We start from the raw sequence: 25483 nt of genomic DNA on the forward strand, positions 1-25483 counted from the left end.
TCAGGAGGCTGAGATGGAAGAATCACTCGAGTCCAGGAAGTGGAGGCTGCAGTAAGCAGAGATTATGCCATTGCACCACAGCCTGGGTGACAGAGAAAGATCCTGTCTGAAAAAAAAAGTCAGTGGGAAGAGAGAGTGACCTGCTCAGAACCAAGCAAGGGTAAAGAATGACAGATGGCAGAGAACAGAGCAAGCAAGGGAGGATACAGGGACAGATAATAGGAGGATATGCTCCTGGTGGACAATACAGGTGGTTTCCAGCCAACTTTATTATTAACACATTCTCACTAAAAAATAAAATTACCTCCCCAACACACACACACCCCCCCTCAGTTTCTAAGGGTAACCTGTTTGGTTTGATTCCTCCCATAGTCTTTCTGTACATAATCAAATATATGTATGTGTGTCTACATCTTTTTAAAAAGTCATTTGTGAGCCAGGCATGGTGGCTCATGCCTGTAATCCCAGCACTTTGGGAGGCTGAGGCGGGTAGATCACTTGAGGTCAGGAGTTCAAGACCAGCCTGGCCAACATTGTGAAACCCCATCTCTACTAAAAATACAAAAAATTAGCTGGGCGTGGTGGTGTACGCCTGTAATCCCAGCTACTCGAGAGGCTGAGGCAGGAAAATTGCTTGAACCGAGAAGTCAGAGGTTGTAGTGCAACCTCTGCACCACTGCACTCCAGCCTAGGTGACAGACACTCTGTCTCAAAAAAATAAAAAATAAAAAAAGTGGTTTGTGTAGTATCATCATATTTAGTGCCTTTCTCGGTGAATGATATAACTTGGACGTTCTTCCATGTCAGATAGCTCTACCTCATTCTTTCTGGTGACTTCATAGTGTGCCAGCATGAGTCTATGCCACAATTTACTTAGCATAGCTCCTAGTGCTGGGCATTGAGGTTGGTGACCACTTTTCACCGTTACAATTAATCAGCAATGAAAACCCTTGGACGTTCTGTTCCTGAGCACATGTGTGAGTTGTTCTGCATGATGATCTATTTCTATAAGCTGATTTTCCAGCCTCACTTTCATTGATGTGCCTGGAAAGTCAGTAGCATGACAGACTGGGGTCTTGGTCACTAACCAGGGACAGTCGAATATTTTAAAACTGTCGTTATTTACCCATTCAGCCAGAAAGAATAAAAATGTAATGCCACGGGAATTCTCAGAACAGCATCCTCTCCTCTTTGAATTCAGGCTTTCAGAACTAGACAGGCTAATGCTCCCACAACTCATGTTCAGGCCACACTGGGTACTTTGTCACATACTAGTTCACCTGATCCCCGAGTTGGTCCTGGAAAATAGGTATTATTAGCATAGAAATGCTAATAATTTTTTTTTGACACATGAGGAAACTGAGGCTCAGAGAGGACAAGACATCTGCCCAGGGTCACACAACTCACAAATAGCAGAGGATTCAGAAACCAAAGACAAAGGTGATGGAATCCTGCCTTCTTTCTAAATCCGTGATGTAGGCTAGATCATGGTGCCTCTTCAGAAGTTTACAGTGGACAGTTAGCCAAAAAAGCAGGTGAAGTGAACATCTGCCTAGGTGACTGAGTTTGCAGGATGTATTAGTTTCCTCCCGCTGCTGTGACAAATTGACCCAAACTTCATGGCTTAGAACAACACAGTGAACTATCTTCTTACAGTTCTGGAGGTCAGATGTCCAAAACGGATCTGCAAATGCCTTCCCACCTTCAAATCATAAGGCAGACCCAAACTTGCCTTTTTGTGGATGCCAAGAGCTCCTTCTGGATGCTCTGGCTGACACTCCATTCCTTTCCTTTTCTAGCTCCTAGAGGCTGCCCACATTCCTTGGCTACTGACCCTTGTCCAGCAACTGTATCATTCTGATCTCTACTTCTATCACCACATCTCCCTCTCTAACTCTGACCCTCCCGCTTCCCTCTTGTAGGAACCCTTTTGACAACATTGGACCCACCAGGAAAATCAAGGATAACCTCCCCGTCCCAACATCTTTAACTTGATCCCATCTGCAAAGTCCCTTTTGCCACGTAAAGTAACCAGTTCTGGGGATCAGGTTGTGAACATCTTTGGGCAGCCATTATTCTGCCTATCACAGAAGGGGGTTCCTAGCTTAGTGATTTAGAGCAAGGGCCCTGCAAAGACCCCAGATTCAAATACTTTGTCACTTGCTAGCAGATCCAGGTACCTAACTTCTCTGAGTCTTAACAGCCTCATCTGAAAAACTAGAATAATAGAATCTTCCTTCTAGGGCTGTTTTGAAAACCAAAGAACACAATGTATGCAGTGCACGTGAAACACAGGGTTCAATAAATGGTAGGGAAGATTCAGAGAAACTAACCATGTAGAGGGAGAGGGCTGTGGAGGAGAGGAGGATAAGGAGAGGCATGCTTCCTTTGGTAGCTTCTTCAGTTTTGCCTGGGCCTCAGCTTTGCCTGAGAATTTCGTCAGTCTCTCCCCAGATCAGCCAGGGTGAGCCTGCTTAAATGGAACACTCTGAAGATGATATCCTGTGATAAACAAGACCTGCCCAGTTGAGTCTGCAGCAGAGTGGGGCGGGTCTGGGATGACCCTGGCATGGAAAAGTACAGCAGCTCTTTGTCTTCAGATTAGGAGCTGGGACAGCTGTTCTGACATGATCACCCCCCGCCCCCACCCCAGGCCTCTCCAAAGTCCATCTTGCAGAGTCAAATGAAAACCAGATTCCTGGTCTTATCTGAGAGCTACGTGACTGTTTCCTGTCACTCCTTTGGAGCCTGGGAAGGTCCCCACATGCATTGTCTAAACTTTGGGATGAATACGCACAGCTCTTAAATGGGAGCATATTATTATAGGTACCTGCCTACACAAAGGGTCCTCCCTATTCACTAAAATCATGGGTTATTATTTAGGGCTTTCATTCATCCAACAAATGTTTATTCCGCATTTGCAGGTGGCCAGGCAAGGTGAACATTCTCTCAGGGTGGAGAGTATGTGCAGACAGGAGGAATTATGCTATGGGAGGGAGAGCAGAAGCTCTGGAGTGGATCATCTTGGGTCTAGATCCTGATACTTCCCAGCTGTGTTTTCACTGGGCAAAATGACCTCACCTCCTTAAGCCTCAGCCTTCTCTTCTATAAAGTGGGCATAACAAATAACCGCCTCCTAGGTTATGAGGATTAAATGAGATGGTTCAGGGGATGTGGGTGGTAACCCCGCCCCTGGTTCATAGCAAGGATGTGAGGAATAGCAGTTGCTGTCATAGACATGGAGACTGTTTCCCCAAATGCCTTCCCACCCCCAAATCATAAGGCAGACCCAAACTTGCCTTTTTGTGGACGCCAAGGTTCTGTCGAGCTGTTAGGGTGCAAGTTAAGAAGCCAGAATGGCGGGCTGAGGGGAGAAATGCCCGCATGTTACAACTCTGCAGGTGTACACACGTGGACACCATATGTACCCATGAATTCCGCCTTTGGAAGTGAACTTGATTGCAGCCTATTTTCGTCTGGAGGCGGTGGATTCCCGGTAGGAGGCGCCTTCAGTCCTCGGCTCGATCCTGTGACGCCAGCCAGCTGCCTATCGGCTTCTCAGTGTTTGAACTTCAAAGGGCTGGACGCTCACCCAAGAAGGGGACCCCGGCCTGACCTCTCTCGGAATTCAAAAAAATCTAAGGCTCAGAGAGGGAATGGGAGCTGGCTCTTCCCTCTGTGTTTAGCATCCACGTTTTTTGGCGGTCTGGCTGAAACCAGCCCACCCTAGTTCGGGCGCCAGAGCAACGCAGTTCCGAGGGCAGATCTCCAAGGGGCGGAGGCAGAGCCGCGGGTGAGAGGCTTCCGCGCCGACTTCGGGTTTGCACTCCCCGGAGCCAGAACTCCGTGGCGGCTCCGGGCCTCCGTGGATCCGAGCAGAGACTGGCTGCCCGCCTGCCACTCGCAGGCTGGGAAAACGCCAGCCGGTGCCTCGCCGGGAAAGTTCTCGGCAAAGCTGGGGATGAGCCCTCAGCAGGGCAGGCTCCCGGTGCAGCGCGCCCCCATCCATTGCCCGCGCGCAAGAACCCGGAATGGGCCCCACCTGGGCCGGGACTCGGGCGTGCGATCCCGAGGGCGCCCTGGGGACCACGCATCGGGTGGGGACCCTGGCCGAGGGCGTGAGCTGACTCAGTTTTTAAAAACTCGCTTCCTCCTTCCCTACTTGTGCCGGTCACTCACCTCGCTGGGAACCAGCCCAGGGCAGAAGGGGGAGAGGGAGGCGGTGGCCTCCCCAGGAAGGAGGAGAGGTGAGTATCCCGCCAGGTAAAGGCGGGGCGGCTGGCGGAGCTGTGCCTCGGCGTCTGCGCCTGGTGTGGGAGGAAAGCGGGTCTCCCAGCTCCACTTAAACCCCTAAAACCTGGGACTTCTAGCTTGAGACATTCCCCGACCACCACCCGTCACACACACGCGCGTGCGCGCACACACGCATGCACACCGATTCTCTGGGCCCTAGGGAGGAGGGGGGATCAGGGCTCTATTTTCTCCCGACCCCCTCTTATCCAACTCGGCTGGCAAGGGTTGGGGAGAACTTAGGCCCAGCCCCCGGCACACGCTCAGCGCGCTCCAGCGGCATACGCTGGGGAGTGGGTGCCCGCCTCGCTCAGCTGCGATCCCTCGCCTCGGGCCCGGGGGTGGTGCCGAGGGCCGGGAGGGAGGGTCGGCCGGTGGGCGGTGCTTCTCCGGGCTGGAGGCCGCTCCTGGCCGGCACCGCCCTCCGCCTCCCGCGGTCCCTCCCTCCCGCACGCCGGCGCTCCCAGGCCGCGCTTCCTGCGTCCCCAACCCGGTCCCTGAGAGGGCAGTGCGCCCTCTCCACCACTGCGTTCCCTCGGCTAAGAATCCCCCGAACCCCAGCCCCGCGATCGCGGCGCCCACCGAGGAGGCCGCCCGGGTGGGGCGCGGGGGTCGCGAAGCCCGCAGTCCCGGACCGCCCAGCCGAGACGGAGCCGGACCCGCCGCCTCCCGGGTGAGTCTCAGCCGCCGCGCCTTGCGCCCGCTGCTTCCCGCGGCGCGCTGTCGGTTCCCCACAGGGCCGTGTAAGGGGGCCGAGGCCCGTTTGGGTCTCCTGTCCGTCCGTCTGTCCGCCGAGCGCTTCCCGCCTGGGGTCGACCACCGGGAGGACTCCGCACCCCGCACCCTCTGCGGCCGCGCCCCGCCGGCGCGGGACGCTCCCGCCTCCCGGGCACCGCGCCTGGCCAGCTGGCCTCGGCTGGGGAAGGCAGCTGGCCTTGGGGGCCCCCTGTTGGCGGGAACAGGTGCTATCCGCCCGGCGGGCTTCGAACCCTTGGCTTCGCCAGAAGCGCTTTCAGCGCGTGGTTAGGAGCAGAACTTCCCAGTAGGTCCCAGGAAACCACCTTGGCGCTTTGCTCGCGCATCCCTTACTGTATGGAAGTCGGGGCCTTTTAGGGATTTAGATTCGTGTGTGTGTATGTGTGTGTGTCGCTCTACAAGCAAACACGGGGGTAAAGAATCGGGCATGAGCAAAGTGGATTGAAACTCGAGTCCTTCCCTGAGCGCGTCGGTTTCTTCATCTGTGAAACTGACATGACAACGTCCCAGGGTGCGGCGGGGCATTCATGCCCAGCACCCAGCAAGCACTCAGCGGTAAGTTACGTTACCGGGCCTAGGGGAGAGCAGAGTACAAATCAGATCTCAAATCAGCGCACAAACGGGAGGCGCTTGGCCCGGCGCGCCTGGTCTGCATTACAGGATAATGGTCTCTTTCCCAACCAGCGGTGGGGGCGAGAGACCTGGCCCCTCCCCCACGGTTTCCCCAGGGAGCAGCCCGTGGGGTGTCCTGCGCAGCGCTCCGAGGTGCCTGTGACGGTGCATGGGACTGCGGGTCCTTCCCAACAGCAGGGGAGGTCTGGCTGCTGGGAACCCGGGCGCTGCCGGAGTGGGGTGGGCGGGGACGAGGTGGGCGGGGCAGGGACCCGAACCGGGAGGTAAGTCAGCGGGTGGAAGGCTTTCCCCTCTAGGACCGGCCGGCTTCTGGCTTTCCTTTTGAATGGGTTACCCGGAGAACAGCTTGTCTAGGGAACTGTTGGCCCTGGGACCGTGAACAGCTTTCACACCCCGGAAACCTGTCACAAGAGGATCCTGACCTATTGGGACAGAGCCCCTGCCCCTCCAAATATCTCACTCCACCAATTGAGAGGTACCCCCAGACTGGGAGAAAAGGCCAAAGAAAGAGAGAGGAGGCTAGTGGTGAACCTGCTCCTCACGGCTTCGGAGCTGACAGCTCTCTGATGGGGTGTCTGGGGCCTGCCCCAGTGACCCAGAGCCCAGAAGCCTCAGGGAGCCCCCAGCCTAGTGAGGGAGTCAGGGATACTCATGAAAAGTGTTGCAGAATTGGCGATACAGTCAGGCCACACCACTTGCTGGCTGTGTGACCTGACCTCTCTGAGCCTCAGCTTCTTCATCTGTAAAATGGGATGATGATCTCCAAGGGCGAGGTGGGGTATTTATGCCTAGCACATGAAGTATTCTATAGTAAGTTATGTCACAGGGCTTAGACGAGAACAGAAGAAAGGAAATAACTCAGGAGGTCCTGCTAAGAAAAGAGTATTAGAATATTCATCAGGGAACTGGAGTCCCCCCAGGGAACAGGGGAGGAAGGGTGTCTGGGCAGATCGAACAGCACAGGCAAAGGCACAGCGACAGGAGAGTGCCTGGGGTGTGCTGGGCTGGGGAAGGTGCTCAGGCAGTGGAGGGTGTGGAAAAGTAAAGGGAATGGAAGGTCCGGAGTGAGCTGGACTGGACAGGTGGGGGCTTTCTTGGAATCATTCAACATATGTTGGCCGAGCACCTTCTGTGGGCCAGGCGCTGTTCTAGGTGCTCAACAAAGATGAACAACATGGAGAAAGACGTCCCTTTCATTCAAGTTCTCTAAGCAGGGAAGTCGTCTGATCCCATCCATATGTTAAGAAGATAATCCTGGCTGCCTGGAAGTTGGCGAGGATCCTAGAGAAGACTCCTAGGAGAGAGAGGCTGGCCTGTGGGTTGGTGGGGGCAGTGGGAATGAATGGGGGAGCTGGAGGAGAGGCCCATACAGGAAGCAGAGAGTAATGTGTGGCCTTCACTCATGACTGTTGGTCAAGGGTAAGATTCTGGGGTTCTACATGAGGCCCAAACTGCCAGCCTGGTCCCCTGCCAGAGAGAAGTAGTGAGTGAGTGTCTGGGGTATTGGCAGGACCCAAGCCCCTCCAGCTGCGACTCTCCGGCTCGCTGGCTCCAGATGTCACGAGGCCTGGGAGTTTCTCTGTCTGCGTGAGGGATGGGAAAGCTGGAGGCAGAGGCCAGCTGGAGCTTCTGGGGCTCCCGTTTTAATAGGTTGTGTTTCTGGTCAACGTTCCTCCCTCCCTCTGCAGGCCTGGCTGTAAACCCCTCAGGCTTCTTGGGCTGGAAGAGGCCAGAGTGTGAGGAGCTTTAGTGTGGATTCTCTTCCCCCAGCCCCAAATTAAGGTGGGAGTCATGCAAAAGAGAAGCATTGTCTCCCTCGGTGCTGGGAAAGTTTCAGAAGCTCAGGTGTCTTCTGACTTGGGATGTGGTATGGGGGCTGCTGACTTTTGCTTTCACTTTTGTTTCTGCTCTGAAGCTGGGAGGAATCCTCCTCTTGCAGCGAAAGCTGTGAGAATATCCTTCTCCATGCTTCAAGTCTCCCTTTGCTTGGAGGGAAAAGGAAGGTCCTAGAATGTCTCAGGTGGAGGGGACCTTCAGGTCATCAGAGACATCATTCTCATTTGACAAACAAAACTCAGAGAGGGGATGGGACTTACCCAAGGACACACAACAGTTCAGCAGCAGAACTGGGACTGGAACCCAGCCCTCCTGACTCCCTTCTAGGGCCCTTTACTTTAACCCAGGAGACCTGGCCACATTCGGGACCAAGACTGTTTTGGGCCCCAGGTTTCTCAACCTCTCAGTCTTTCAAGCGGCTTCATAGAGTTGAGCTCCTCCCCAGCCTGGACAGGTGGTGCAGCCTCCCCTGCCAATGTTTTATTCTCCCTTCCTCTGGATTGAGCCCTCGCTGCCATGGCCACCCCTCCTGGGAGCTCTTGCTCCTGAGAAAGAAAACAGGCCGTTTGTTTGGAAGAAACAAGCCACCTGTTTGGTTTCCCAATACCAGGCCACACAGCCCTGTCCCTCCCAGACAGCCCCAAGATGCTGACCAGAGATAGCCCTCTGAGGGTCTCTGCTGAGCTCCCCTGACCCTCGACTCCTCCCCTCAGCTCCCGTCTCAAGACTGCTGGTTGGTCCTCACCTTCTGTCTGTGGTGTTTACTTGGGCGGAGCAACCTAAAGTCTCCACATTCTCTCTTGCCCTGGATTTATCAGACTTAGCAGCCCTTAAACCTGAATGCGTAGCTTCAGATCTTAGAATATCGGGGCCAGAGGGATCTTAGCCATCAGAAAATCCACTCTGCTTATTTGACAACTGGGGAGACCAAGACCCAGGGAAGAGGAGATTTGCCTGAGATCACAGCCAGGACCAGAACCCGAGGTTCCAGAGTTTGTCTTGAATGATTTTGAGGATGATTCTTGAAAAACAAAACAGGGCACCCTCCCCCTCCAAGATCCCCTTTCTGTCTGCACTTCACACTACCAGGTGTTTTTGTGGCATCCGTGGTGACATGGTCAGGAGGAGTAAGGGCCAAGGGTCCTGAAAGATGAGGTGTGCACATTGAGGAGTGTGTCTGCGCATTTCCAGGTCCTGTCTGTTCAAACTGGCATTAACACCACGGCATGAGCTAGTGAGTGCATTTATCTGGCACTCCCTTAGCCAGACTTGATAATGTGTCTTTGGATGGCAGGCTTTTAAAGTTGTCTTCGTCCACAGATTACAAAAGAAGTAGGTGCTCCTTGTAAAAACGAGCAGATGACATCGTGAAGGCTGGCGACCACTGTTAATATGGTGGCGTTTTATTCAGGTTTTTGTTTGCTGAGCTGTTTCATGTCCTGGTTTGTTGTTGTTGCTTTTGAAAAAATAGAGACAAGGTCTCTGTGTGTTGCCCAGGTTAGTCTTGAACTCCTGGGCTCAAGTGATCCTCCCACCTCAGCCTCCCAAAGTGCTGGGATTCCAGGCAAGAGCCACTATGCCCAGCCCGTATCCTGGTTTTTCAACTCGTCATTACAGTGCCTGTTATCTTCATGAGATAATGTGAGTGACTTCACGCAGGATCTAACCTGTAGGTCTCACGTGCTTCCACCCCTTGATGGCTAGCAGGTATTCCCTTGGCCAAAACCCTGTGACGCTGTGCAAAGTGCAAAGACGTTTCCAATTCACCACTGTGGGAGTCCAGAGGGCCGTTTTTCTGCATCACCATGGGGTTTGGGAAAGCAATTCTCTCTGAACTCTTAGAAATGGAAGCCACGGGCCATCTGGGTGTGATGCGTGTGACCCAAATTCATACAGAGGGAGGGAGACAGCTTTGTTTCTTCTGACTTTTATGTGTTTATTTTTGCTGTGTTTGTTTTAACCCATCCAAGTGCCGCCACCCCACCATCACTGCCCCTTGCCCCAAATCTCCCTGGGATTAGGCATGGGGTTAGGCAAGTTGCAGGTCTCTAGAAAAATCGGTATTTGGCATGCTCATCTCCAAACCCTGGCTCTTGCAGAGTAGGCGTTTCAATAGCAAAGATGTGCAGAGAATTTGTTTCCTAATCGGTGATTCAGGTAGGACACCCCATTCTGGGAACAGGATGGGGCGGGGTCTCTGTCTCTCTCTACCAGGATCACAGCTTTGTTAATGCCATAAATCATCAGTACTGGAAGTACTCGTATCTTGGGGATTTTCTAAGCTCATGTTCACAGAATGGACAGCCACTTACTAGTGGATTTGAGCATCGTTGAGTGGTTTTCCGCTGGATTTTTAAAAGTGAAGTAGAAGACAGTGGACTAGAAAATAGCATGCATTTCCTGTCACGAGAAATATTCCTTAGTAAAACTTTCAGTTATCTGTTTGTGGATGTGCACTGAGTCACTAGGTAAAAACGTCTCTCCTCCTGCATGGTAAGAACCTTGCGCAATGTAGCTCCGGTTATACTGTGATCCTGGGAAACCTTGGATGGGTCCTAGAAGCAACTCAGGGGTTTGCAGGGACAGAGCTGAGTGGTGGAGGCAGGGCCGACAGGAAGGAAGCTCGGCTTATGCTAAGGATACAAAACATCCACTTTTAAAACTCTGTGACTTTAAAAATAAAACAGAAAGTTGGAAGCCATTGTTCGTCTAGCCTCCTCAATTCCTAGAAGAAACTGAGGCCACAAAACAGAGGCTGGGGCCTTTGCTGCAGGGGAGGTAGCACTCAGGCCTCACATTGAGGAGAATCTGCAGATGTAGACCCTTGACCCCTCCACAAATGAGCGACTCAAAACACACGTTCACGGTGCAGCCTGTGACCCCCATAGGCCTCACTGTTGCGTGCACTAGGAATTCATGTTTATCCTAAAGCCTGTCGCTCTCGTGCCAACAACCCAATTTATATTGCTGAGATGCACAAAGCATTAATTTTTTCAATGCCACATTTCAAACAAAGAAGAGTTAATAACCCTGTTCTGGCATTTCTTTTTTTGTTTTGTTTTGTTTTTTGAGACAGAGTCTCGCTCTGTTGCCAGGCTGGACTGCAGTGGTGCAATCTTGGCTCACAGCAACCTCCACCTCCCAGGTTCAAGCGATTCTCCTACCTCAGCCTCCCTAGTAGCTGGGACTACAGGCATGCGCCACCACACCCAGCTAATTTTTGTATTTTTAGTAGCGATGGGATTTCACCATGTTGGCCAGGATGGTCTCGATCTCTTGACCTCGTGATCCGCCTGCCTCGGCCTAGGCATGAACCACCACACCTAGCCTTCTTCTTTTTTTAATGTCCCCAGAGCTTTACCAATGGAAGCTTCCCAGGCCCATCCCCTGGCCTGAGAGGCCTTTGAGATGATAAGCCCAGGGTCACCAAATCCTGGCAGAACCTGGCAGAATGAGAACTCACCACAGGGAGCAAGTTCTTTTTTTTAAGATCGTGGACTCACATGATGTGCAGTTCTGGATGTCTCCAGGAGGTTTTGCTATTTCCTCAACAGGTAAAATTAGGTGGCTCTAAATCTTGGGCAATTTTATGTCTTTTCCATGTTTTTCTCCTCACATGTGGTCTAGGGAGGGGTGTAGAGAAGCAGGTGGAATTTACTTGCCTTACCTTATCCTACCTTTTCCTGGAACCCACAGGTTGGGCCTGTGCTGGTTAGGGTGTGGGGCATGATTTGTTGATATTTGGTGAGGGAAAATGACTTTATTTTATTTTATTTATTTCTTTTGAGACAGAGTGTCACTCTGTTGCCCAGGCTGGAGTGCAGTGGTGCAATCTTGGCTCACTGCAACCTCTGCCTCCTGGATTCAAGCAATTCTCTTGCCTCAGCCTCCTGAGTAGCTGGGATTACAGGTGCATGCCACCACGCCCGGCCAATTTTTGTATTTTTAATAGAGATAGGGTTTCACCATGTTGGCCAAGCTGGTCTTGAACTCCTGACCTCAAGTGATCCACCTGCCTCAGCCTCTCAAAGTGCTAGGATTACAGGCGTGAGCCACCACACCCAGCAAGAACATGATTTTAAAAAACAAAACAAACACTCAAACTTTCTTAAGTTACCATAAGAGGCCTCACATACAGCTTCCTTAAAACTGCCTGCAATTTGGAGAGAAGCAGTTAGGTACTGGAACTGCCTGTGGGTAATTATTGTTTTCAAACAGTGACAGATGCAAATTCTCTTCTTTTGGGGGAAATTGCCTGTAGCTAAACACCGGCGCCATCACTTTAAACAAATCTCCTGATACATATGGTATGCCAGGCGCTGAGCCCAGGAACGAGGGAGAGTCAGCCCCCGCCCCCCACCCCGATGGAGCTGATCCCCCACGGGAGGCAGCAGGGATTGTACCTTAACAACATGTGAATAAAGATGAGGAAGCACAGCCCGTGAAGGAGGAGGCTTAACCCAAACTTGGAGAGTCAGGAAGGATTTTCAGAAAGAGTGCAGTCTGAGCTGAAATGGGGAGCGGGGAGGGCAGGTGCAGCCGCCACCGCCAAAGGTCTTCCTGGTGGAGGCAACTGCCTGTGCAAAGGCCTCAAGGTGTAAAAGAGCTTCGTTAACACAGGCCAATACTGAGTGTAGAAACGCTGCACTCAGGGCAGATGCTGAAGGCAGAGGTGGAAAAAGTATTTTATATAGTTTCTTCTTAAAAGTCATTTTGGGGGCTGGGCATGGTGGCTCATACCTGTAATCCCAGCACTTTGGGAGGCCAAAGCAGGTGGATTGCTTGAGGTCAGGAGTTCACGACTAGCCTGGCCAACATGGTGAAACCCCATCTCTACTAAAAATAGAAAAATTACCCGGTATGGTGGCAGGTGCCTGTAATCCCAGCTACTCAGGAGGCTGACCACAGGAATCGCTTGAACCTGGAAAGCAGAGGTTGCAGTGAGCCGAGATCGTGCCACTGAACTCCAGCCTGGGCAACAGAGTGAGACTCATCTCAAAAAAACAAAAGTCATTTTTCTCAAAAAATTAAAATCGAATAACCATAGGATCCAGCAGTTTCACTTCTGGGTGCATACTTGTCTTAGTCCATTTGTGTTGCTGTAAAGAAATACCTGAGATTGGGTAATTTATAAAGAAAAGAGATTTATTGGCCGGGCGCAGTGGCTCACGCCGGTAATCCCAGCACTTTGGGAAACCGAGGCAGGCAGATCACGAGATCGAGACCATCCTGGCCAACATGGTGAAACCCAGTCTTTACTAAAAATACAAAAATTAGCCAGGCATGGTGGCGGGCACCTGTAGTCCCAGCTACTCAGGAGGCTGAGGCAGAAGAATGGCTTGAACCCGGGAGGCGGAGGTTGCAGTGAGCCGAGATGGAGCCACTGCACTCCAGCCTAGCGACAGAGCAAGACTCCATCTCAAAAAAAGAGAGAAAGAGGTTTATTTAGCCCATGGCATCTCAGATGCATCAGCATCTGCTTCTAGTGAGGGCCTCGGGCAGAAGGACAGCAGGCGTCATGTGGTGAGAGAGAAGAGGAGAGAAGGAGTGGGGAGCAGACTCTTTAACAACCAGATCTTTGGGCACCAAGCCATTCAAGAGGGATCCACTCCCAACAACCAAACACCCACTAGGCCCCACCTCCAACATTGGGGATCAAATTTCTCTTCTTTTTTTGAGACAGTCTTACTCTGTTGCCCAGACTGGAGTGCAGTGGCACAATCTTGGCTCACTGCAAACTCTGCCTCCTGGGTTCATGCGATTCTCATGCCTCAGCTTCCCAAGTAGCTGGGATTACAGGCATGTGCCACCATGTCCAGCTAATTTTTGTATTTTTAGTAGAGATGGGGTTTCACCATGTTGGCCAAGCTGGTCTTGAACTCCTGGCCTCGAGTGATCCACATGCCTCGGCCTCCCAAATTGCTGGGATTACAGGCATGGCCACCGCATCCAGCCTGGGGATCAAATTTCAACATGAGATTTGGAGAGGACCAATATCCAAACTATATCAATGCTCAAAAGAATTGAAAACAGGTTTTTGAAGAGATATTTGTACACCCATGTTTATATGAGCATTACTCATAATAGCTAAAATATGAAAACAACCCAAGTATCCATCAAAGGATGAATGAATAAACAAAATGTGGTCTATCCATACAGTGGAATATTATTCAGCCTCCATGTGGAAGGAAATTCTGACACCATGCTGCAACATGGACGAACCTTGAGGACATCATGCTAAGTGAAATAAGCCAGTCACAAAAAGACAGATACTATATGATTCTACTTGTATGAGGAATCTAGACATCATAGAAATGGAAAGTAGAATGTTGGTTGCCAGGGGCTGGGGGAAGAGGAATGGGGAGTTAGGGTTTAATGGGTAAGGGGTTTCAGTTTTGTAAAATGAAAGCGTTCTGTGAATGCATGATGGTGATGGTTGCACAGCAGTATGAATGTACTTAATGCCACTGAACTGTTCATGGAAAAATGGTTAAGATAGTCAACTTTATGTTATGTGCATTTTATCACACTAAAAAGTTGGTGGGTGGGGGAGTCATTTTGGAAACAAGACTCAGATAGTCATTTGGCCATATCATTGCGTTCTCTCTACAGACCAGGTGTTCTTCCAGGCTTTGGGGGGAAACGGTGCCTAAGACAGGCTCAGTTCCTGCCCTCTTGGAGCTTACACCTTATTAGGCAGCAGGGAGGAGTCAGTCAAGTAGGAAACCAACAAGTAAAATAACAAATCAATAACATGTCAAATGCACTGATCTGAAATCTTTGCCCCTTCCCTATGCTGGCAGGATCAAGCCAAAGCTAAGCTCTTTAACTTTCAACACTATAAAGCCCGGACTTCTTAGAGTCAGCCTCTGTTAATCTTTTCAGACCTATTACTGCTGCCTTACCCCAACTTCAACTGCATCAGTCACAAGGAACTACTTTCCACCCCCACCTACCTCGTACCCCTGCTCAAAGCCAGGAACTTTGGCGGCTTTTTTCCTTCCTGTTCTTTCTGCTTTTCTTTCTAGACTGCCCAGAGGCTTTAGAAAACACCATAATTTCAATTCTAGAAGTTTATCCTAAGAAAACAGTTAATGAGTATAAGGAGTTAGTTTCGAGACTGTTATTTTTTGTAATAATAGCAACAAAATTAGAAAGCCATTTTGTTTTTAATCTGTCCAGAGATGGTCCTAGCCACGACCCTTTAAATAAATTTTTGTTTAATTTTGGAATAATTTTAGATTTATAGAAAAGTTGCAAAGGTAATATGGGGCATTTTTGTCTACCCTTCACCCAACTTCCCCTAATGTTGGCTTTTTTTGGGGGGGGGGAGGGGGGAGGGGACAAAGTCTCACTCTGTTACCCAGGCTGGAGTACAGTGGCGTGGTCTCGGCTCACAGCAACCTCCACCTCCTGGGGTCAAGTGATTCTCCTGCCTCAGCCTCCCGAGTAGCTGGGATTTACAGGCATGCACCACCATGCCTGGCTAATTTTTGTATTTTTAGTAGAGACAGGGTTTCACCATGTTGGCCAGGCTGGTCTTGAACTCCTGACCTCAGGTGATCCGCCCACCTCGGCCTCCCAAAGTGCTGGGATTACAGGCGTGAGCCACCATGCCCGGCCTAATGTTGGCATCTTACATAATCGTATTATACTTATCAAAGCTAAGAAATTGACATCACAACTAACTAAACTACAGACTTTATTTTGATTTCGCTGGATTTCCCACTGCATTTTTATTCACCAGGATCCAATTCAAGATGCCACATTGCATTTGGTCATCTTGTCTCCTTAGTATCTTCTGAACTGTGACACTTTCTCAGTCTTTTCTTAAATTTCATGACCTTGAGAACTTTGAAGAGTACTGGTTAGTGTTTTGTAGAACTTCCCTGAATTTCGGTTTGCCTGATGTCTTCTCGTGACTGGACTGGGCCTTTGGGTTTTGGGAAAGAATCCTACAAAGGTGAAGTGTGCTTCTCACTGAATCATGTTAGGATGGAGATAATATCAATGTAACTTCTTATTGATGACATCAGCCTTGGTCACTTGGTTAAGGTGGTGTCTGCCACATTTCTCCACTGTAAAGTTACTACAGCCCCTTTTTGGAAGGGTATTCTTTAACATGAGAGCGAAAGGCAACATTATAAAAGAGATTATTGAAACGATTTTTAGATTAGGCACCTAAAATTTAAAAACTTTGATATATCAAATGATAAACTGGGGACAATATTTGCAACACAGAACAGACAAAGAGTTGTGTTCTGAATCCATGCGGGAGCTTTGCTTTTTTTTTTTTTTTCCTTTTTTTTTTTTTTGAGACGGAGTCTCGCTCTGTCGCCAGGCCAGAGTGCAGTGGCACAATCTCGGCTCACTGCAACCTCTGCCTCCCGAGTTCAAGCAATTCTTCTGCCTCAGCCTCCCGAGTAGCTGGGACTACAGGTGCGCGCCACCACACCCAGCTAATTTTTGTATTTGTAGTAGAGACGAGGTTTCACCATGTTGGCCAGGATGGTCTCCACCTCTTGACCTTGTGATCCGCCCACCTCGACCTCCCAAAGTGCTGGGATTACAGGCATGAGCCACCAAGCCCAGCCTGCTTTTCTAGTTAGTAAGGAAAAGCTGAATGCCCTAGTTGAGAAATGGGCTAAAGAAGAAATGCTGAGGCCAGGCACAGTGGCTGACACCTGCAATCCCAACGTTTTGGGAGGCTGAGGTGGGAGGATTACATGAGCCCAGGAGGTAGAGGCTACAGTGAGCCGTGACTATGCCACTGCAGTCCAGTCTGGGTGACCCTGTCTCAAAAAAAAGAAGAAGAAATGCTGGTGGCCAATTAGTACATGGGAAAAAAAAGAATCAGTATTCAGCCTCATTGTATTAAAGGAAATGCCAATTAAAACAATGCCGTCTTTCACACAGGAAATCTAAAATGTTTTAAAAGTTTTAAAATTTTAATTTAAATAATGCTAACTGGGAGGTAGTGCTTTCAGGAGCTCAGCATAGAAGTGTAAACTGGAGAACAGTCTGAAAACACAGGCCCAAACCTTTAAAGCACTTAGCTTTAAAACACTTTTAATTCCAAGATTTTAACCTTGTTATTAATATCTTCAATACCAAGATTTTATCCCGAGGTAACAATTTATGGTTGTATACGGAGTTAATTTCAACAGTATTTTTTATAATAGCAATAAAACTAAAAATCAAATATATTTGCAGCAACAGGGAATTGGTGACATAAATTGCAGCTCTTTCATATACTGAAGTGGTCCTCAACCACTAAAAATTCCAGTATTGATGAATACTGATGATACGAAAGATTGTTCATTGTACATCAAATTTTTCAAAATTAAGGTTATACTGGGAGGTGGAGGTTGCGGTGAGCCGAGATTGCGCCACTGCACTCCAGCCTGGGTGACAGTGAGATTTCATCTCAAAAAAAAAGTTAGGGTTATAAAACATATTGCAGCAATATCCCATTTTTGTAAAAAACAAAAAAGTATTTTGTTTACACAGCACACAAGAAAGCATGGATACCATCATAGATATTTATCAGCAGTTATGGATGGGGGTAGCCATGGGGGGTTTCGATATTCTTTCTGCTAATCTGTATTTAACTAATTTTTATTTCTTAAACAAGCATTGTTTTCATAACAAAACTGTTATTGATAACACCTTCTCCTCCCATTTGGAACTTTAATGACCTGTGCTGAAGACCCATAGGCTTGTTATGCATCCCACAGGGATTACTGCCAGGCAAGGTGCTTTGGGAACTGTAGAGAGCTTTGAAGACATCAGCTGCCACTCCTGGTGGTTGGTTTACCCTTCAAACTTCGAGTATCTGGGCCTCCCTTCTGAGACTTAGGAAGCTGAGATAGGAGCATGGTGGAAGCCACAGCAGCCGACTCATAGGCAACTGTGAGAAAATACTCACCCAAGGCTGGGCACGGTGGCTCACACTGTAATCCCAGCACTTTGGGAGGCCAAGGCCGGTGGATCACTTGAGGTCAGGAATTTGAGACCAGCCTGACCAACGTGGTGAAACCCCGTCTCTACTAAAAATACAAAATTAGCTGGGTGTGGTGGCAGGTACCTGTAATCCCAGATACTCAGGAGGCTAAGGCAGGAGAACCCCTTGAACCCAGGAGGCGGAGGTTGTAGTGAGCCAAGATCAGAGCACTACACTCTAGTCTGGATGACAGAGTGAGACTCTATCTCAAAAAAAGAAAGAAAAGAAAATACTCGCCCAGCATTGTATTTTATATATATGTATGTAATTTTCCATTTGAACACAGTTCGATGAGTTTTGACTCACAAGCAATCATGTAACCACCACCACAATCAAGATGTAGCAAAGTTCCATCACCCCCCAAAATACTCTCCTGCTGCCTCTTTGTAGTCTTTCCTGTCTCCACCCCCCAGCAGCCACTGATCTTTTTTCTGTCCTTATAGTTTTGCCCTTTCCAGGATATCACGTAAATAGAATCATACAGTATGGTGCCTTTGGAGTCTGGCTGCTTCTACTCAGTAGAATACATTTGAAATGGCTGGGTGCGGTGGCTCACGCCTGTAATCCCAGCACTTTGGGAGGCCGAGGCGGGCAGATCACGAGGTCAGGAGATCGAGACCATCCTGGCTAACATGGTTAAACCCCGTCTCTCCTAAAAAAACAAAAAATTAGCCAGGCGTGGTGGCGGGCGCCTGTAGTCCCAGCTACTCGGGAAGCTGAGGCAGGAGAATGGCATGAACCTGGGAAGCGCAGCTTGCAGTGAGCCGAGATGACGCCACTGCACTCCAGCCTGGGCGACAGAGCGAGACTCCATCTCAAAAAAAAAAAAAAAAAAAAAAAAAAAAAAGAATACATTTGAGATTTCCCCATACTGCATTTATTCCATGGTATGAATGTGCAGGACGACAGTTTACTTATCCCTTCACCTGTTAAAAGGATATTTGGATTGTGTCTACTTTTTGGTGATTACGATTAAAGCTGCTATAAACATTCAGAGGTTTTAGTATCAACATATGATTTCATTTCTCTTGGGGAAATACCTAGGAGTGGAATTATTGGGTTTGTATGTGAGTGTATGTTTATCTTTATATGAAATGACTAAACTTAGGAGGTTAGGGCCAGTTCCTCCAGCCAGCACCAGGGCTATGCAGGGACCTAATGAAACATTGATAATATCCTCCCCTCCCATTTGGAACTTCAGTGACCTATGTTGAAGACCCGGTGAAACCATCTGTCTTTTCTGGAGTGATGCTTTCACTTTGCCAGCTGATGTGGGTTTCACCCTGCTGGTAGGAGGTTGACCACCTCCCCATTGATGACTCTCCCTTTCCCATATCACAGGCATGGAAATGACAATGAGTAGTGATCGTTCTTAACTTAAATAACTTTTTCATTAACTCTTTTTCTTTAATTAGGAAACTAATATATGCACATGGTATAAAAAAATCAAATGGTGTAAAAGGATGTCCAATGAAAAAATATACATCTCCCTCTCATTCCAGGCTCCCAGTCCCTTATACGAGCGTAGCCACCATCTGCTATTTCTTGTATATACTTCTAGAAATTGTCTCTGCATATAATGATGCTTTTAGATGCTGCTTTTAGATGTTTGCCTGGTCATCAAAGCAATAAAGTATTATAGTGGTCAGGATCATTATGAAATTGTTGGGTAATTTCAAACTTGTAATAACTCCTATGAGGGTCCTCAATCACCTTTAAGGACCCACTAACCACCTGAAATGGTCTGTCAAGCATTCTCTGTCAAGTATTCTATCTCTGCATTTTTCTGTGGCAGGTCAGTAGCTTTCATCAGATTCTCAAAGGGGTCTGTGCACCAAAAGAAAGAAGGGGAATGGGGAAGAAAAGAAGGAAGGAAGGACTGTAGAGGCAATCTTTTACAGACAAATGGTAGATAAATGTATAATGAGCTTGGATACATCTGCAATTAGCTGTAACTCAGAATGTATAAGTTCCAATTTTATGTATTATTGCCCCTTGGTTTTATGATTGGAAGCTGGTAGAACCACTGATTTAACAGCATAGGCTGTTTTGTCTTGGGCTAAGAGGAACTGTGCCTGGCTGAGCCAAGAGAGACGAAGGCCATAGAGTTCTTCAACCTTGCCTGTGTGTTTGTACTGACTCACTGCATCTGAGGAAGTCTGTTGGTAGCTTAGAACACGCGTACTGTCTCTCCCAGGGTGAGCCAGTGACTGGGAACGTCTCACAGAAAGGAGCAGACAAACTTGCTTCCCACAAGAGGGCTTCAGGCTGAAAAATATTCAAGAAGAGTTTAGGGGAATTCCTGGGAGTCAGAGCCATATCCGGCTCATGATAAAAGTTACAGATATTTGGGGACTACCCTTATTAGAGTCAATATCTGGAGTTGGAGTGGGGAGCAACTAAGCTTTCCCATCACTCTTAAGTCATTTGATGCTCAAAACAGTTCTATGTTAGGGAAACCGAGGCAGGAGTATGCTAGCTACATACAGTGCAAACTACCCCACATCTGAAGGACTTAAGGCACTCCAGTTACATTTTCATATATTGGGTGGGAAGGTGGGGTCTTGGCTCCACACAGTCATTCAGAGACCCAGGCTTCTATCTTTAGCACTTCTTCTCCAAGAGTTTAGTGAGCTAATAACAGGGCCCACAGCTAGAAAGTGAGGGAGTCGGGATTTGAACCCAGCCAGTCTCATTCTGAACTATGATGCTATGGTGAGAAACAATAGTACTGGCATCTAACTAGATCTACCTGGCATGTAACTTCAGAACTGGGAAGTGGGAGATAACTTGGGATTCTGAGGAACATTTGTTCCTTGTTGCCAAGGAATCAAGCTCTTCTTTTTAAGGAGTGAGATGGGTAAATCTGAGAGACTTTTTTTTTTTACTTTGTCTTCAGTTGAGAATTTTCAGATTCAACACATAAAAATGAGAGCCTTTTCCCTCCAAAAGTTTGCCCCTGAAATAAATGTGCGTGAGACTATGTTGCCTGGTGCTTGGGTCTTTTCATTAGCAAATATCAACCCCCAAAAGCTGATCGCCCTTCCACCATGTTACTGCTCATTGCAGGGAGGAAGTTTGAGACATTTCAGCAACCTGATTAAAAGATTTTTTCCCAGTTGAAATGTCTTCTTGTAGAAACAACCCAAATGTCCCATAAAAGCCTATGGTTTCTACAAGGTTATACAAGGGGAACACCACATGGCCATTCAACATGGCAATGACACAGAAGGCTCTGAAAGACATAGAAAGATGAGTCTAGTGTGCCAATGTAAAAAGGCAGATTACGAAGCTGTCCATTTTTTATTTCAAAATTCCCTAATACGCAAAGAATAAAAATTTGACTATTTACTATAATGTTTCTAATGTTTATTCCTAACAGATTACAAGTAATTTTTATTCCCTTTCTCCCTGTCTTCTCTTTTCTAACCTGTACTTTCTGAGTTTCCCACAGAGAAACATGTATGACTTTGTATTAAAGTAACAGCTTTAAGTTCAAATGGTCCTAATGATCTGGGTGACCTTGAGCCATGGCTCACTTTCTCGAAATGGGGAGAATAGTTTTAGGATGTTGTGAAGATTCAACTATAAATGTACTTAAAACAGTACATGCTCAATACATTTTTAGGTGTTACTGTCATAATTATTTTTGAAAATCTTTCCATTCTAGTAAGTCCATTCCAAATCCAAGCCAAACACACCTGAGAGTCGTGGGGCTTTATCTCAGAATGCCTGGGAGTACAGACCCATGAGCAAGCCAACTTCCTCCTTTCCCTCCTCTCCCCCGGCCCTCTGCTGCAGGGCAAGGTAAAGCTAGGTGCCTGGGATACTGCTGGGTTTTTTTTTATCTTTTTTTTTTTTTGAGATGGAGTCACTGCAACCTCCGCCTTCCAGTTTCAAGCGATTCTCCTGCCTCAGCCTCCTGAGTAGCTGGGATTACAGGTGCGCACCACCACGCCCGGCTAATTTTTGTATTTTTTGGTAGAAACGGGGTTTTGCCATGTTGCCCAGACTGGTATCAAACTCCCAGGCTCAAGTGATCTGCCCACCTCAGGCTCCCAAAGTGCTGGGATTATAGGCGTGAGTCACCACCACACCTGGCCTATTTTAACCATTTTTAAGTGTACAATTCTGGGACATTAAGCACATTTACAGTGCTGTGTGACCATCGCCACTGTCTTTTTTCCAGAACTACTACATCATCCCAAACAGAAATGGAGGCAGGTTTTCTTTTTTTGAGACGGAGTCTCCCTCTGTCGCCCAGGCTGGAGTGCAGTGTTGCGATCTCAGCTCACTGCAAGCTCCGCCTCCCGGGTTCATGCCATTCTCCTGCCTCAGCCTCCCAAGCAGCTGGGACTACAGGCGCCCTCCACCACGCCTGGCTAATTTTTTGTATTTTTAGTAGAGACGGGGTTTAACCGTGTTAATCAGGATGGTCTCGATCTCCTGACCTCATGATCCGCCCGCCTCGGCCTCCCTAGAGGCAGGTTTTCTAAATGCTTGCATGAGTGGTTCTCCATCTTCAGCTTGTGTTAGAATCCTCTGGGGTGGGGGGCTTGTTAAAACATAGATTGCTGGGTCCTCCCTCCTCCTCCACCCCCCGCCACATCCCCCACCCCCAGTTGCTGATTCAGTAGGTCTGAGTGGGGCCCCAGGATTTGCATTTCTAACCAGCTCCTGGGTGACGCTGATGCTGTTGATTTGGGGCCACGCCTGGAAGATCGCTGTTTGAGATCAAAAGGTTTGCAGGTCAGAGTGGATGACGGCATCCTTCCAGGTCAATGAGAGAAGCCAAACTTCTATGACCTATGAGATAAGGGGTTTGTTATAGGAATTAGTTCTTATGCATTCATAGGGGGGGCGGCAGAAAGGAAGGTGGAAGAGTTGCCGGGGACCAGGGGCATCGCCACCTGGCCCTGGGTACACGGGCAAACTGGTGGAGAAGTCTACAGCCAGCCGTTGTCTGGTCCATCCCCAGCCAAGTGTCCGCGGGGGGGCCTGGGCTGCTGTTGGTTAACAGGACCAGCAGTCAGGAGAAAGAGCTGGATGCAGAATGGAGGACAGGCTCGAATGTGCTGGAACCCACGGGGCTGTCTCTCACCTCATCCAATCATGATGACCTCTAAAGTGTAATGGTCGCTGCTTCACTTCCATCTCCCAGCTTTCCACAGATTCCTCTTTTGACCAATTATAACCCAGAACCAGTCAGAGAAGGGGATTCTGGGAAAAGTAGTTCCAGCTTAACCAAGCCCGCACAGCAGGAACTACCACAGCTGATCAATCAGTCCTTGCCGCGGAACCTCCTCCTTGAACCCACAGGTGGTTTCTGGGGCTCTGCTGGGCGTTCCCTGACTCTCTTGACAGGACCTTCTAGCAGAAACAGATGTGGTCCATCCCAACAACCCCTTGCTCAGATCATCAGCTGAGAACTTAATAAAAGCAGATTTCCAGGCCCCAGCCCAGGCCTGCCGAGTCAGACTTCAGCAGTGGGACTCAGGAATCAGATTTTCAAACAAGCTCTCTAGCTGATTAACATACCCAGCCACGTTTGAAACTTCTGAAGTATGGAAAAGAAAGTGGACTCTGTCCAGGCACAGTGGCTCACACCTGTAATCCCAGCACTTTGGGAGGCTGAGGCAGGTGGATCGCTTGAGCCCAGGAGTGCAAGACCAGCCTGGGCAACATGGCAAAACTCCATTTCTGCAAAAAAGAAAAAATACCAAAATTAGTGGAGCATGGTGACACGTGCCTGTAGTCCCAGCTACTTGGAAGGCTGAGGTGGTAGGGTCACCTGACCCTGGGAGGTCAAGGCTGCAGTGAGCCAAGATTGTGCCACTGCACCCCAGCCTGGGCAACAGAGTGAGTGAGACCCTGTCTCAAAAAAAAAAAAAAAAAAAAAGGAAGGAAGGAGGAGGGAGGGAGGAAAGAAAAGAATGGAAAGGAAGGAAGGAGAGAGAGAAAGAAGAAAAAAGAAAGAGAAGAAGGAGAGAGAGAGAGACAGAGACAGAAGAAAAAGGAAAAGAGAAAGTAAGTGAACTCTGGGGCTAGACAGCCACGGGTTAGAATTCTGGTTCCACCACGTGCCAGCTTTGTGATCCTGAGCAAGTGACTTAACCCTTTATGATCCTATATTGTCTACAAGAGTTCCTCCTTTTCTATCATTTCACTCTCCACTGTTTCAGTTACCCATAGCCAACTACAATCTGAAAATATTAAATGGAAAATTCCGGAAAGATATGATTCATAAGTTTTAAATTGCATCCCATTCTGAGTAGTGTGATGAAATCTCACACTGTCCCACTCTGTCCTGCTCCAGACGTGAATCGTCTCTTTGTCCAGCAGATGGGTGCTGTCGACACTACCTGCTCATTGGTCACTTAGGAGCGGTCTGGGTTATCAGATCAGAAAACGTCGTCGTTATGTGTAAGGTCGGGTGCTGTCTGTTGTTTCAGGCATCCACTGGGGGTCTTGGAACGTATCCCCCGAGGATATGTACTCAGCTGTTAAATGGGCTCAATGCCTACCTTTTTCATGGAGGGTTGTGGGAACCGAATGAGGCCATGTGTAATAAACTTCTGGCAGGTGAAATATTATTGTGCTTAATCCAGTTAATAGTTGTGCCTGGACATGCCTAGGGAGTAGGTCAGATGGGCCCAGCATCTCCTCTTTCTGCTTAGGAATCTGGGGTTTAACCTGATCATATTCTTTTTTTTTTTTTTTTTTTTTTTGAAACGGAGTTTCGCTCTTTTGCCTAGGCTAGAGTGCAGTGGCGCAATCTCGGCTCACTACAACCTCTGCCTCCCAGGTTCAAGCGATTCTCCCGCCTCAGCCTTCCGAGTAGCTGGGATTACAAGCGCACACTACCACGCCCAGCTAATTTTTTGTATTTTTAGTAGAGACGGGGTTTCACCATGTTGGCCAGGCTGGTCTCGAACTCCTGACCTCAAGTGATCCACCCACCTCAGCCTCCCAAAGTGCTGGGATTACAGGCGTGAGCTACTGCGCCTGGCCAACCTGATAGTATTCTTAACACAGATTGTTTTCCTGCCATCATGAAAACTAGACTTGCTTTAAAGTCTTTAGAGTCTCAGTTCATATTCCAGGCATTGTTTTACATAAATATCATCTGTTTATTTTTTCTTTAAGCAAATTTCACAAACTCCATCTAAAAAAAAAAAAACACAAACAAAATTCATCTGTCAAAGAAGAGCCTTTCAACTTCTAGTTCTGTTTATCTAAAAACACCCTTTCTTCAACCTGGAATCTTGGACATTTTGCCACATGCTGAACGTTTCTATGAATTTCTTTTTGTGTCTGTCACCTTGACGTTAGTTGTCACCTTAACTAGGTAAGACTTAGGTTGTGGTCTGCATGAGTAGAACAAGCTAGTTTTTCAAGAAAGCAAGTTGGAAGGTTTCATAACACCTGCTCTTCAATGGGTTAAGGCAGTGCTCCGGGGCCAGGCCATCTGATAAAGGGAGTGGTAACTTTGAAGTGTGGCTTATAAAGAAGCTGTTATTTCCACAGCAAGCGAAAGCAGCAGTAAAGAAAACAGGGTTTTGCAGTTCCGCTGGAAGGAGGTTGGGGAAGGTCAGAAATCAGGGCGGGAACTTCGAGAGCAGCTGTCAGCACTGGGCAAAGGCTGAGACAGGTGAGCATTGGGCATCTCTGAATGACATGCAGGGTTCTGTGCCTTAGACACACTTCTGTAGCCTTCGTTGATAGAATCCCATCATTTTCCTTTTTCTTTTTCTGATGGATTTCACTCTCTTGTCCAGGCTGGAGTACAGTGGCTTGATCGTGGCTCACTACAGCCTCCACCTCCTGGACTCAAGCAAACCTCCCACCTCAGCCTCCTGAGTAGCTGGGACTATGGACACGCTGCCACCACACACAGCTATTCTTTAGTTTTTGTAGAAACCGGGTCTTGCTGTGTTGCCCAGGCTGGTCTCAAATTCCTGGGGT

The 25483-nt window shown here is 48.5% G+C and overlaps 1 protein-coding gene and 2 long non-coding RNA genes across 11 annotated transcripts in view, besides 10 other annotated features; 1 reads left to right on the forward strand and 2 right to left on the reverse strand.

Moving 5' to 3' along the window:
- Nucleotides 1-3473, reverse strand: part of TMEM51-AS1 (TMEM51 antisense RNA 1) — a 40650-nt gene extending 37177 nt beyond the window's left edge. The window contains exon 1 of the long non-coding RNA NR_027136.1: nucleotides 3300-3473. This is a non-coding gene — a long non-coding RNA (TMEM51 antisense RNA 1). The remainder of the gene's footprint in view (nucleotides 1-3299) is intronic.
- A 101-nt stretch (nucleotides 3474-3574) lies between these two features.
- Nucleotides 3575-25483, forward strand: part of TMEM51 (transmembrane protein 51) — a 67913-nt gene continuing 46004 nt past the window's right edge. For 4 of the 8 annotated variants that reach the window (NR_135082.2, NM_001136218.2, NM_001319665.2 and 1 more), the window contains exon 1: nucleotides 4756-4963. The gene's annotated coding sequence lies outside the window, so the exon portion shown is untranslated. Of the gene's footprint in view, nucleotides 4248-4755; nucleotides 4964-25483 lie in introns of those variants that run through there. The other 4 variants (NM_001136216.2, NM_001136217.2, XM_017001590.2 and 1 more) reach the window with 3 other exon arrangements.
- Nucleotides 4579-4848: a silencer, noted in NCBI's record as "silent region_296". NCBI's record gives its function as "represses an Ori minimal core promoter by ATAC-STARR-seq in GM12878 lymphoblastoid cells {active_cell/tissue: GM12878}" and the evidence as "EXISTENCE:reporter gene assay evidence [ECO:0000049][PMID:35858748]".
- Nucleotides 4909-4958: a silencer, noted in NCBI's record as "silent region_297". NCBI's record gives its function as "represses an Ori minimal core promoter by ATAC-STARR-seq in GM12878 lymphoblastoid cells {active_cell/tissue: GM12878}" and the evidence as "EXISTENCE:reporter gene assay evidence [ECO:0000049][PMID:35858748]".
- Nucleotides 4909-5599: a biological region, named in NCBI's record as "H3K27ac-H3K4me1 hESC enhancer GRCh37_chr1:15480425-15481086".
- Nucleotides 4938-5599: an enhancer, noted in NCBI's record as "H3K27ac-H3K4me1 hESC enhancer chr1:15480425-15481086 (GRCh37/hg19 assembly coordinates)". NCBI's record gives its function as "activates a minimal SCP1, AML or CMV promoter by ChIP-STARR-seq in naive H9 embryonic stem cells {active_cell/tissue: H9 hESC(naive)}" and the evidence as "EXISTENCE:reporter gene assay evidence [ECO:0000049][PMID:30033119]".
- Nucleotides 5049-5228: a silencer, noted in NCBI's record as "silent region_298". NCBI's record gives its function as "represses an Ori minimal core promoter by ATAC-STARR-seq in GM12878 lymphoblastoid cells {active_cell/tissue: GM12878}" and the evidence as "EXISTENCE:reporter gene assay evidence [ECO:0000049][PMID:35858748]".
- Nucleotides 5379-5468: an enhancer, noted in NCBI's record as "active region_232". NCBI's record gives its function as "activates an Ori minimal core promoter by ATAC-STARR-seq in GM12878 lymphoblastoid cells {active_cell/tissue: GM12878}" and the evidence as "EXISTENCE:reporter gene assay evidence [ECO:0000049][PMID:35858748]".
- Nucleotides 5600-6261: an enhancer, noted in NCBI's record as "H3K4me1 hESC enhancer chr1:15481087-15481748 (GRCh37/hg19 assembly coordinates)". NCBI's record gives its function as "activates a minimal SCP1, AML or CMV promoter by ChIP-STARR-seq in naive H9 embryonic stem cells {active_cell/tissue: H9 hESC(naive)}" and the evidence as "EXISTENCE:reporter gene assay evidence [ECO:0000049][PMID:30033119]".
- On the reverse strand, nucleotides 15201-22633 carry TMEM51-AS2 (TMEM51 antisense RNA 2). Of its 2 annotated transcripts, none has more exons than NR_167931.1 (3): nucleotides 22620-22633; nucleotides 22190-22324; nucleotides 15201-15470 (listed from the first exon to the last, which is right to left on the reverse strand). It is a non-coding gene; the product is annotated as a TMEM51 antisense RNA 2 (long non-coding RNA). The 2 variants fall into 2 exon arrangements; NR_167930.1 differs by lacking the exon at nucleotides 15201-15470 and adding an exon at nucleotides 19483-19786.
- Nucleotides 18576-18745: an enhancer, noted in NCBI's record as "experimental_366 CRE fragment used in MPRA reporter constructs". NCBI's record gives its function as "activates a minimal promoter by MPRAs in K562 erythroleukemia cells, with activity observed for both the introgressed and non-introgressed 1:15494148 variant alleles {active_cell/tissue: K562}" and the evidence as "EXISTENCE:reporter gene assay evidence [ECO:0000049][PMID:34662402]".
- Nucleotides 19637-19706: a silencer, noted in NCBI's record as "silent region_299". NCBI's record gives its function as "represses an Ori minimal core promoter by ATAC-STARR-seq in GM12878 lymphoblastoid cells {active_cell/tissue: GM12878}" and the evidence as "EXISTENCE:reporter gene assay evidence [ECO:0000049][PMID:35858748]".
- Nucleotides 23153-23322: an enhancer, noted in NCBI's record as "experimental_370 CRE fragment used in MPRA reporter constructs". NCBI's record gives its function as "activates a minimal promoter by MPRAs in K562 erythroleukemia cells, with activity observed for both the introgressed and non-introgressed 1:15498725 variant alleles {active_cell/tissue: K562}" and the evidence as "EXISTENCE:reporter gene assay evidence [ECO:0000049][PMID:34662402]".

This window comes from Homo sapiens, chromosome 1 (assembly GCF_000001405.40).
Source record: "Homo sapiens chromosome 1, GRCh38.p14 Primary Assembly".
Lineage (NCBI taxonomy): Eukaryota > Metazoa > Chordata > Mammalia > Primates > Hominidae > Homo > Homo sapiens.